General features: G+C 48.9%; 2 annotated features.

Annotated features, from left to right (window-relative positions):
- Positions 8968–9017: an enhancer, noted in NCBI's record as "active region_765". NCBI's record gives its function as "activates an Ori minimal core promoter by ATAC-STARR-seq in GM12878 lymphoblastoid cells {active_cell/tissue: GM12878}" and the evidence as "EXISTENCE:reporter gene assay evidence [ECO:0000049][PMID:35858748]".
- Positions 9038–9137: an enhancer, noted in NCBI's record as "active region_764". NCBI's record gives its function as "activates an Ori minimal core promoter by ATAC-STARR-seq in GM12878 lymphoblastoid cells {active_cell/tissue: GM12878}" and the evidence as "EXISTENCE:reporter gene assay evidence [ECO:0000049][PMID:35858748]".

Genomic DNA, 12683 nt, shown 5'->3' with positions numbered 1-12683 from the left:
CCTTCATTGCTACTCTTCTGGTCCAAGCCACCACAACCTTTTACCTGGACTGGTGCAGTAGCCTCTCAGCAGGTTCTCCTGCTCCTGCCCTTGAACCCTCTGGGTGGTCTCTGCACAGTACCCAGAGCTGTCCTTCTAGAATCAAAGTCAGATCAAGTCCTCCCTCTGCTCACAACCCTCCAATGGCTTCCTCTCTCACACAGAGTCAACTCTAAAGTTTTCAACACTGGGCCCCCCGACCTCTCTGACCCACCTTCTCCACTGCCCTCTCACCCCAACCTGTAGGAACATGCCATGCACAGACCAGCCCCTGGGCTCCTGCAGTTACTGATCCTGCTGTGTGGAATGCTGTTCCCTTCAGTGTTTGTGTATCTCATCCTCTCGCTTCCTCCCAGGCTCTGCTCAAATGTCACCTCTAAGAGAATTCCTGAACATCAGCTCAAAAGTTGGCACACCCTGTTCTCTTTTTCTTCTCACACTCATCATCACCAGACATAGGTTTGTTTATTGTATATGCTCCTCCACTAGAATGAAGCTTCCATGCAAACAGGGATGCTGTCAGTGCTTGGCACATAGTAGGTATTCAATAAACACTTTTGAATAAGTGGAAGAATAAGTGGCAAGTCTTGTGCTAGGTGCTGGGCATACAATGGTAAACAAGACAGAGTATCCAGAGAGTTATACTTTATAGCTTGCTGTCCCATGGAGGTGATAAATACCAAGTAATAACACAAACAATGATTTAACTACTATTGAGAAATGTGCTACAGGGGCATAGCACAGGCTGATATGAAAGTGAATTAACTGAGAGTCCTGAAGCGGAGGAAAGGGTGTAGGGAGAAGGTGTATCTGGGAGGGCTTCTTTGAGGAGGTGGTACCTCAGGTGAGACTTGATGGACAGGGAGTGGTCCCAGTGAACGGTGGGAGGAAAAGCATTCCAGGGAAGAGACTGTTCAAAGTCTGTGATTGGAAAGAAAATTCAGTGCTTTTATGGAGCAAGAGGAAGCAGGTGGCCATGGCAGAATGGAGGTGGGAGGTTGGAGGGAGAATGAGCTCAGATGGGAGTGAGGCATTGAGTTCCCAGAGGCAGGTACTGCTGCTCATGTTTTGTGTACTTCTAACCTGAGCTCGGTCCTGGCACCTCTCTGTCAATGTGATGCTGTTTGAAGGGCAATGGACAAGGAGTCTGGCAGACCTGGAGTCTAACCCTTACTTGCTGTGTGTCCTTGAGCAAGTCCCATTGCTTATCTGAGTTCGTCTGTTCCTCACCTGCCACTGTAGGGATCAGTGGCCGCACCACTGTCTCCAGGAACATGCTCTATATCCCATGATGCCCGTGCAGGTACACAAGGTTTTCTGCCATCATGGTATGAGGCTGGTACATGGGGCCACCATTTCTGCTGCAACCAAGGAGCAGAGGCTCCTGGAGACATTTGAAACTTCAGAAATGTCCTCTCTGGGCATCTTCCACGATCCTTTGATGGAGCTGGGGTTTCTATATCCACAGACAGAATTGAAAGCAAAACCAAACACCCTTCAGACCAAGTCACCTCTGATTCATTCTCATTCTCCGTGACTTGGAAAGTCAGGGAACCGCGTCATATTTGGTCCCTTCCCGTTTCCCCGAGAGGGATCTGCCTAAGTGTGCAGGCTGTCTCGGACATGGTTTGTGTCCCCTGCCTAAACCGTGACGCTTACAGTGAAATGAGATGCTTGCATCTTGCAAGGCTCGATCATAAAGGATGGCAGTGCCAGGATCGAAGCAATAGGTCATGTTGATATTTTCACATTAGTTTCTATTCTTATTACATTTTGATGGATGGAGAGAGTGGGGATTTTATCGTAATCTCATTCCTGTCTTAAACTGCTAATTCATGCCTGAGTTCCCTCTTCCATTTTGTTTCTACAAATTCAGTCAAGTGCTGATGGGATGAAGATTTAATATGCAGCTGCAAGAAGAGGCACGCTGATAGGAAAAATGCTAGCTGGGGAGCAGTGTTTTTAGGAGAACGGTCTAATCAAGTCATTTTGTTATGAGAGCGCCTTGTTGCCCTGGGAGATTGGGGCTGCCTGTATATAATAATAATAAATACGTAATAGTAAAACAATATCTTATATTCAATATGGTGCTTTTAATTTTTCAAAGTGATTCATTCAAACATTTTTGTTTTTTTTCAATCCTCCAAATAGCCCTGTGAGACTGGAAGGGTATTATGATTCCAATTTTATAGATGAAGAAACTGAGACTTAGAGAAGGGAAAGGACTTAGACCAATGCCTTTTAAACTTGAGCATACAGATGAATCATCAGGAGGTCTGGGGCAGAGTCTGTATTTCTAGCCAGCTCTCAGGTGATGCACGCTTCGAGGAGCAAGGGCTGGATGCCCTTTGTGTATGCGCCTGTGATGTTATGGGTCTTTGCGGATATTCTGTGACTCCCTTTCACCTGTTCTCCCCTGTACTACACACTTGGGCAGCTAAAACCTCCCACTTACTACTTCCCCAGGATCCTAGGCTATTGACAAGTCCCCTTCCCTAGGGTCACCTGGCTCTCCTCATTCTGTCTCACCTGCTTCCTCCCACTCTGTCCTTGGTTTTTCCTTTCCCTTACGGTGATCCAGTCAAAACCTTGTCTCAGCCCTGTTCACAAAACCGTACTCATCCTGACTCTCCTGTCACCCCTCTTCTCAGCAGCATCCACCCCTCCACTCCATCAAAACTCTCACCAGGGCCTCCTGCCCTGCTCTCCTCTTTTGGGGCTGTGTGGGCTGGGGATGCATTCCACAGGCTGCAGAAGGCCAGAAAGCTGTGTGTGGTTGGAAGGAACTCCTCAAATCAGGGGACAAAGTAGAGACCCAGGGGTAAGAATCCTGGAACCTGCAGGGCGTTCTGTGCCCACAGCCCTCTACAGTTACAAAACGCCCTGGCACCCATGCACACCAGACTCTCACAGCCACCCCCAGGAGGTCCCTCTTCAGACACATAAATAAACTGAGGCTCTGAGAATTTCTGTGACCTTGCCCAAGGTCACAAGCCACTCTAGGCAGAGCCTGAACTCAAAGCTGGGGCTTCTGATCCCAAGTTCAGTGCTCTCTGTAGAGATCACCAGGGTTGCACTGAAATACACCCTAGGTAGCTCTTTCTGGGGCATTTGCACAGTTTCCCACATTTTAGACCCATGGTGGAAGTCACACTGCAAAGCCATTTCTGCCATTTCTGGCTGCTTCCTGCTAGCTTCTTGTGGCAGGTAGCATGAATTCCGTACATGCTGGCGAAGTGTATGGATGGACAGAGGCATGTGTGGCACGAGCCCCGCAGTCATTCCCCAGCTCGCCACCCCTCTTCCAGGCGTCTCCGGCATTCTCACTCCATTTCAACTGCGCTCCTCTCCTGCTGCTCTCTCTGTTTCTCTTTTTCTCTCTCCTTGTCTCTCTCTCTTTTCGGAGAATAAAAATGACTGGACTTGGCATTATCTGCTGGTTTCCATGGTAATAAAATCTGTTTCTGATAATGGCCCTTCCCTGGTGTGGTTAGTTTTGGTAATTTTAGCAACACTGTTGCACAGGCCACCTGCATTTCAATACCATGCAAGCTGGATTCGACTGCCGCTTTCAGGTTGAATAGAAATAAGGGAAAGTGCTTGCTCTAAAATTTCTAGGCTGGATAAATGCTCGAGAAGAAAAGGAAAAGTTACATAAACTGCCCAGACTTGGATGTGCATGCAGCCTAAGACTGGAGTGTGATCGTGTCACTCCTGCTTAAAACCCTTCTCACGACTGAACTTAACGTGTGCAGCATGAGTCCAGACCCTCCTGTGGCTGGAGTTAGGGCCTCCCTTAACCTGGATTCCTATCACTCTCTATGGCCCTGGACTTATGGTGCTGTTTCCTGCCTTTGAGTCTCTGTATTGATCGTTCTGTCTACCTGCAATGCCTTTTCTGCTTCAACTGCCTGGTGAGCTCCTACTCAGTCTTCAAATTCCGTCCCAGCATCCCTGCATCCCGCAACCAAGGTCTTCCTTCTTTGCGCCTCCCCCACAACCCTGATTTGTACATTCTTCTGCTATGCAAATGTATCCTGTCACACTGGCAGCATTTTAGTTTACCTGTTCTTCTCTCCCATGTCACAGTGAACTCTTTGGGAACAGAGATGCTGGCTGGATTCATTACTGTGGCTCCAGGGTCTGGCATATGGCATGTAATCATGAATTAAAAAATACATATCCTAACAGCTAGCAAGAATGTCTCACTTGGCCAGGTGCGGTGCCTCATGCCTGTAATCCCAGCAGTTTGGGAGGCCAAGGCAGGCGGATCACCTGAGGTCAGGAGTTGGAGACCAGGCTGACCAACATGGTGAAACCCCGTCTCTACTAAAAATACAAAATTAGTCGGGCATGGTGGTGCATGCCTGTAATCCCAGCTACTTGGGAGGCTGAGGCAGGAGAATTGCTTGAACCTGGGAGGTGGAGGTAGCAAGATTGCACCAAGATTTGAGCCAAGATTGCACCACTGTACTCCAGCCTGAGCAACAAAAGTGAAACTCAGCCTCAAAAAAAAAAAAAAAAAAGTCTCACTTTCTCTATGTGCGGGGCACTGGGCTAAACACTTTATTTGCATCTTTTCATTGCTCCTTCCTCACCCTAGGAGGTAGCTCTGACTATTCTTCCCATTTTACAGATGAAGACATTGAGGCTCACAGGGGTCAACACACTGGCCCCAGATTACAGAGTTGGCTGATGGAATGGGTGTGAGTTCTCTGAATGTGCAGACGAATCAATTCAGGTGGAAAATTTGAACGACTGGCACTGAGCTCATGGCCTCCTTTTGAATCTGCCGGAAGATTTTCCTGTAAATCTTTAGGGGGAGCTGTGAGGGTGCTGCTTACAGGCAGAAACAGTTCTTCTCTTGTCTGGCTCACTGGGGAGGAGAGGGTGGTGGGAGGGCCAGAAGGAGGGGGATGAAGGGGGGGATCACACAGATGTAAGGGGCTGCACACACAGATTTTGCCAAGGCTGCAAACTTCTAGGGGAGAGTGTCAAGAAGATCTGGGAATGGCAGGCTGGAGCCTCCAGCAGCCCAGCCTGAGTATGGGCCCAGTGCTAGCCTTTGAGCCCGCTTGCCTCTTCTGAAGGCGTAGGAGAGGATGTAATGTGGGGCCCTGGCCCCTATGAAGACTTAAGACCTGTGAGCCCCGTCAAGCAGCTCAGGAAGGCTGGAAGAGAAAGAATGCAGGGAAGGACGTGCCCAGCCTCTTTCCCCAAAGCTGTCGCTGCTACTCTGGCCACCTGGGCCACCCTGCTCTGATCTGTGTGCAAGCCCAGCCTGAGGCTCCCCAAGGACTGGCTCTGGTGGCGGCATCTGTACTTGGAGTTGAAACGGTTCTGCAGAGGTGTTTAGTCTGGCCTGGGCCAAGGAGGGGGATAGCGGGGGCGCTCAGAGCTTCGGGTTTTCTTAAGCAAGTTGCCCCCCACTCTGTTCCTTCCAAGCCTATGGGATTGTGGCAGGAATTTGCTACAAGGCACAGAGCCCGTGGCAAGGCAGAACCCTAAGCTTTTATTCCTCCCATTCGGGGTCAACCAGGATAGGGCCTGCGGGGTCTTTCCACAGATCAAGCTCTCAGGGAACAGAGGGCAATAGACAAGGGTCCTCCCCAGCCTCTGGCTCCACAAGTGTAGGAGTTGAGCCGGACCCCTCAGCTCAACCTCTGACGCAATGCCGCATAACATAAGAGAGCAGCCTAATGTTCCCCCCTCATTTGACTTCAGGTGAAATTGGGTAAACTGGCTTCTGAGCTCTGAAAGTAGGCAGGACTAGAGACGGTTATTAGTAATAACAGCTGACACTTTTATAACGCGATATGACAATGAAGTTGGTCCTAATATCATTCTCATTTTAAGGTCAGAAAACTGAGACACAATAAAAATAAATAAACAAAAAAGAAAACCGAGGCACAGAGAGCTTAAGGACTTTGCCCAAGTTCTCATACATCCACAGTAGAGCCAGGATGTGAATCCAGGTACCTGTTCCTGTAAGTATCAGTCAGGGACTGGTGGAAACACAACTGAAACCTGGAAGAACATTCTTTCCTTCCTTTTCTTTCTGCTTACGTTTTGTAAGCACCATCAGTGGCCCAAGCCCGGGCTCCTCTGCGATGGTGGGAGGGCAGAATGATAGAAGAGGAGGGGCTAGTCCCAGCCTCTAAGGATGCTCACTTGGGCTGTGCCCACCTTGGCGTTGCTGTGGGCTGATGGAGCTGGGAGCCTAGGGAGGAGCCTCAGCTGGGTTTTGGGATCATGAACCAGGGCTTGACTTCCAGCTCAGCTGCCTCCTAGATGAATGGTCTTGGGCAAGAGACCAGGACACCTCGCAGCCCAGGTTCTGCTTCCTTCAAACGGGCAGTGCGTGCTTCGCACTGGCTCTCCTGCAGGCTGGCTTGTGTTTCCATGAGATGATAAATGGCTTAGTGTTTTACAAATTTAAACATCTCCCCAGGGGTGAGGGAGTTTTAGAAAATGTGTTCTAGAAGGAATAGCCTACTTTTCTTCTATGTGGGGACCTTGACTGGGGACGTCTCAGAGGCACGCTCTGTTCCAGACATTGCTCCTCTTCCCCCAACCAACCTTCTTCCTGGTTGTGCATCGGGAGTGACTTCCTTGCTTTACACATAGCAATGTCAATAACTGTCGAATTGAGGCATGAGCTTGGAGATAGGGCAATTGTCAAATGGCTTCTGGCAGACACAGGCAGTCTGGGACTTCTCAGATTCAATTTAGATAGATTTTTCTGGCATCAAAAGAGCTGCAAAAAGTTCCTCCTCATTACTCCCATTTTGCAGAAAGCAAAACTGAGGTATCTGGAAGACCTGCCCAGCCAGTGCTAGGTCCAGAACATCTGGCTTGCAACATGGAACTGACACACCTCCGTTTATGCTTCAGGTTTTGTCTCAAGCCAGGATCTTTTCCTGGGAAGGAGTTGATTCAAACTAGGACAGACCCATGTGTCACCCCAACGACGAGGAGCCAGATGCTGTCCTGACTGACTCTCAGACCTTTTCCCCTGTGCTGGCCTTCCCCCTGTTGGGACCATGCTCCCTGCTGGGCAGATGCCCTGAAATACTCTGTCCAGCTGCCTCCCCAAACAGGACCTCCACATAGTAAAGGTCAGAGCCAGAAGGGCCCTGTAGGATAAAGGGGGAAATTGGGGCCCAGAGGGGAAGAGGCTTTGCCCAAGGCTACTCTTCTAGTGTCCTCGGTGAGATCATGCTTCTCCTGGATTTCCTAAGCTGATCTTTCTGGAAGGACCACAGCACCCTAATTCCTTTTCCCGTCAGGCAATAACTGTCTTGTTTAAACTGTCTCTAGGATTAGTCAAACAGTCAGAGATCACAGCCAACAGCTGCCCTGTTCTCTCATTACCGGGTGCCTATAATTAATATTTATAAACCAAGAGGGTGCTCGTCTTTCTTTGCTGAAAAAGAATTCAGTATTTCCAGTCAGTGGCTGCAAACATACAGCCCCTTGTTACCCTACCATGGAAAAAGAGCTTGACTACTTCAGCAGATGCACTTGTAATTGTAGCTGGCAGAGAACAGAGCCCGGGGTGGGCAGGGGGAGGACACTGGACAGGAACCCAGGGTGGAGGGTACAAAAATGGAGGAAGGGGAGACAGACTGGGAGAGAGAGACAGAGATATGGAGGGTGGTAGGATCACAGACACAAAGAGACACACAGAGAGAAGAAAATGAGAACACAAGCAAGAGAGAGAAGAATCATACAACCCCAGAGAGAAAAGGGGGTTCATCCAGAGACCAAGAGAAAGAGGTGGGAGACTAGAGAGAGACATACATACAGGAAGCAGGAACAGAGATGCAAAGAGAGCAAGAGACACAAAGGATCAGAGGCAGAAAGAGGCTGCCAATTAGAGAGGTTCGAAGGAGGGCACAGCGACTAGCAGGGAGACAGAGGTGGTCAGAGTATTTCAGCCATTGGCCATCAAGTGGGTGGCACTTGGCACAGAACCTGCACATAGTAAGCACTCAGTCAATCCATGGCCCGGCCCTTGTTGGCACTCAAAGTTGCTCACCCAGCATAGATCCTGGCATAAGCTCCCCACTATGGGAATTGACATCCAATAGATCTGCCCCCTACCCCCTAGCCCTAGCACAAAACCTGGCCTATGGTGGATGCCCCTTGCCTGCGGGTGATCTGGACATGGTGTTGAATGAATCCGCACCTCCAGCCTCCAAACCTTTGCTTGTGCTCTTCCCTGCTTGTGACCAGCCAGGTGCCGGGGAATGAGCACTGGGCTGGGAGTCAGGAAATCTGGTTCCTGACTCTGCCACTGAATGGTTGGGCAAGTCTCTTTACTTCCGTGTGCCTCAGTTTGCCCATATGTTAGGTGAGAAATGGTCTCAAATGGTCTTTGAAGTTCCCTCCAGCCTTAGAATTCCACGACCTGAGGTTCTGACTCACTTCTGTTCGCACCCTGGCCAAATGGGCACCCTGTATTCCAAATCCAGCCCAGCTGCCCTCCCTGATCTCACCTGGGATGTGGGGCAGGGCAGTCCTGGCAAGGACAGGCTCTTCTTCAGCCATCTGGGGCTCTCTGATTTGCACATCAGAACCCAAGAAGGGCTTTTAGCTGTTCATGCCCCCAGGCCGCAGTGAAGCAGGCAAAGCGGAAGCCACTGAAGAGGTGTCTTGAAAGTGGGGCTCATGGGAGCCATGAACTTGGCCCCTAGAAGTGGATGCCACATGGTTATTTATGAGGGCTGAGGCAAAGGCAGAGCGTGTGAGAAGGGAAAGCCATTTTTCAGGAAGGCAGAAGAGGTAGGACTGGAAAGTTGGGAGCCGCCATGTTTAGAGAAAAACCAGAGACCTTTAGGGGAGATGCTTCAACTAGCGGCCTCTTAATTTTACAGGTGGAGGAGAATGTTACCTAACAATCCACTCCCCAAACTCTATGTCCTAAAACAGCAATCATTCATTTCCATTGATCTGTGGGTCAGCAGATGTAGGCTGCGGTTGGCTGGAGGTGGCTTTGCTTCACATGCCCCTTCTCCTTCAGCTCCTGAGACCAGTGGGATGGCCTAGGCATGTTCTCTTCATGGCTGTGGCAGTGGTGGCAGAGAGCAAGCAGAAATACACAAGGCCTCCAGAGGCCTGGGCTTAGAGCTAGCACACCATTGCTTCACCTCATTCGATTGGTCAGAGCAGGTCACATGGCGAAACTCAAAAGGAGAAGTGAGAAATACACCCACCCACATGAGAGGGCACTGCAAAGTTCATGGCAAAAAGCATGAATACAGGAAGAGGCAAACATCTGCCAGGTGCCAGGTACTGTGCCCAGAGATAGGGATTTACAGTAAACAGGACAGACAAGGTCACTGACCCCATGGAACTTGAAATAAAGATGTAAACACGTGAATGAATAATAGTCATAGATCATGAAATTGCAGTAAAGGAAATCATGGGGTGGTGTGGCAGGGAGAAACTGAGACATCCACTTTGATACAATAATCTGGAACAGCCTCTCTGAGGAGGTGGTCTTTGAACAGAGCTGTAAGGTGAGAATAAAGAGAGGGAGGAATAGCTTCTCGGGCTGAAGAAGCAGCAGGTGTAGACTCCAAATCCAGTTCTCTTTCCAAATGATCCTGCTGCCTCTTGAGGAGGGAGCTCCAGAGATCTTTGGGGTGTCACCTTTTTCTCTATCACTGGCCACTGCCTTCATGACTAAGTCCTCCAACCAGGTTCTCACATGCCTCTGTCCTTCCAACCAGTCCATCCCCCATCACAGAGTCCTTTGCAAACCATGATTCTGACTATGTCCTGCCCCTGCTCAAAACCTCACAAGGGCCCCTGAGAGTCTACAGAATGAAGTCCGGGCCCCTGAGAGTCTACAGAATGAAGTCCAAGCCCCTGAGCCTCATATTCTAGGATCTGTAGAGACCAGTCCCAGCCCTCTCCCTATCTTCGTCACCTGTCCCATTCTCTTTGCTCCCTTCTCTCCAACCAGGTCAAGACAGTGCTAGAGGCAGCATGAGAGCATGGGCATCCAGACTCTGAGTTCAGTGTTTTTTCTATCATCCTGTGCTGCCTCTGGGATGGGGGGACCCAGGATGGTTTTGGATGGCACCTGTGCTTCATCCTCAATACCATAGTCTACGTCTGCAAGTAGACTATGAGTTATTTGAGGGTAGTGGACATGTCTTCATCATCACTATGTCTCCGTTGCCAGCCATCCCAAGGGTCTGCCAATTTTGGTGGGACTATATGAAGGCATTGGTGTATCCTGGGGTAGCATCATGACCTGCCCAGAGGAGACTCTTCAACTTTTCTCCAACTGCAGACAAATCTGCACTCTGTCCTCTATGTCCTCGTCTTGGTGGTAGGCAAGGACTTGGGGTGGGGAGGGGGAGAAAGGTAGGGCTCTTAGAGGAATCAAAGGGGCCTTCCAGTCTTCCTCTTGCCTTCAAGTCTTGGGCAACAGGATTCCCAGCCATGGCCATGCATATGGGATCAAAGCTGGGTCTTTGATCAGCTTTAGGGACAAAACTTCCAGGGAGCAGCAGAGGGCCTGGCATGTAGTAGGGCTCCATGACTTGCTGAATCGCTTGTGGGAAGATCCATGGATACTTCTGAGCCTGAAATCTGGTCCTCAACCCTGACATTAGAATCACCTGGGTAGCTTTTACAACACGTTGGTGTCTGGGTTCCATCCCCGATCAATTAAGTCAGAATCTGGGATTGGGACTCAGGCATGCCTTTTTTCAAAACTCCTATATTAATTAAGGTCATCTTAGTGGCCGTAAGGGATAAACCTTTAAATCTTAGAGGCCTCACTCAGGAGAAGGATTTCTTGCTTACATAGTCTATTGTGCCCTGGGCTGATTATGTTCCACACAGTCATTCAGGACCAGTGGATGGAAGCTCAGTTGTCTTCAACATGCGGCTTCCAAGGTGAGCTGGGTTTCTAGTCAGCAGATGGGGAAAGAGAGAGTGAAGGGTTGCTTGGGAGGATTTTTACCGGCCAGGCCTAGAAGTGAGGCACACCACATCCACCCACACTACATTGGCCTGAGCTCCATCAACGGGCCCATCTATATGCAAGAGAAGTCAGGAAATCTAATCCTTGGCAGGGAAGCCACTTTCAAGCAATGCTAGGAGGGAATCATAAATCTCTGGTGGCCAGCTGGACACCCTGTCACAGCTTCCCTAGTGATTCTAATGTGTGGGCAGAGTTGAGAACCACTGGTCTAGAGCGTCACAGCTTGATTGGAATTTTGTTCCAATTTCTCACCGCCCAATCTCTAGTGCTGTGGGGGCTCCAGATGAGCCTCCTTGGCTGCCATGCCTTCCTGTTTCATGTTTCTGACAGCCCAATCTGTAGGATGGGTGGGAACCCACAGGGAGTCTCAGTACAGTAGCCTCTTCCTGCTGGAAAGGTTTGTACAAGGGAGTCATGGGACTTGAGTCTGGAACAGATGGAGTCAGACCCTGCATGGCCTTAGAAGCCAGCCTGGGAGGCTTGGCCTCTGTTTGGAAGCCATTAGAGGGTTGAAAGTAGGCAAATGACAGCATGGTAATGAGCTGCAGGAGGGTTAATCTGGTAGAGGGTTGTGCAGAATCCTGGGGTAGGGGGAAGGCCACCAGGCTGTCATGTTCAGCTCTCATTTTCTTCTCCAGACAGATCAAGCTTTATGTATGGTCCTGCCTGGTCTTGGGGGGTGGGCAGGGGGTCTGCTCAGTGCCCAAAGGAAAAGATGGTGCTTAAATCCTGCCTCACTTCCCACACCCCTTCCAGGAGATCTTCCTTTCACTCTTCTTGATTGGCCACCCTTGAAACTATTCAGAAGAATATATTCTAGACTCTGGAAACAATTCCACAAAAGAAATTCCCAACATTTTATGCCATGGGGATGCTATTGTAAAAACTATTTATAGTCTCCCAAGGGGATGCCTTTGTGGGGCAACACTCTTTTCTGTTTACAAGGTCTGTTCTGTTTCGTTTGTAAGGGAAAATCAATACTTTACAGGTGAATTCATTCATTCATTCATCCAACAAATATTTTTGAAGCCCAGGTCCTATGCCAGGCACTGTGGACACAACAGTGAACAGGACGGGCATAGAGGTCCCTGCCCTCATGGAGCTTGTGGTTTTACCCCCTTGCCTATACTCAGAAATGTGTCCACTGGCAGATGAGCATGCTTGTTTCCAAATGCCCCATTACTAAGCCCCATTTAGGGCTTTTCAAATCCAAGCGATACACTGGCATTCTTTGATAAAAACCTAATCAGAACACAGACACAAAAGTACCTTTACAGCATGTGGAGTAAACAAAATAATTTCTTCTCAAGAAAGTGTAAGGTATTCAGGCTTAGAAAATCTTGCCTGAAGATGTTGAAAGTCAAAGAACTAGTTTCTGTTCAGACAATAGTTTATTTGTAATACTCAATTTCAGTTAGACCTCATAGTCCTAGTAGTTTAAAAAATATTTATTGTGTTTCTGATTATAAAAGTAATGTATGAATGCTGTAGAACATTTGGGAAACAAAAGTAGGAGGAAGAAAATAATGATCACCCATAATCTTATCACTGAGAAATAACCAGCAGTAACATTTGGATGTTTTTCTCTCCAATTTTTCTTTTAATGCTTACATTAAATAAAGTTGCTATCAAAATGCTA

The sequence above is a fragment of the Homo sapiens genome, chromosome 1, assembly GCF_000001405.40.
Source record: "Homo sapiens chromosome 1, GRCh38.p14 Primary Assembly".
NCBI classification, from domain to species: Eukaryota; Metazoa; Chordata; class Mammalia; order Primates; family Hominidae; genus Homo; species Homo sapiens.
The sequence above is the reverse complement of the archived record's forward strand: the minus strand, read 5'-3'. Positions and strand labels throughout refer to the sequence as shown.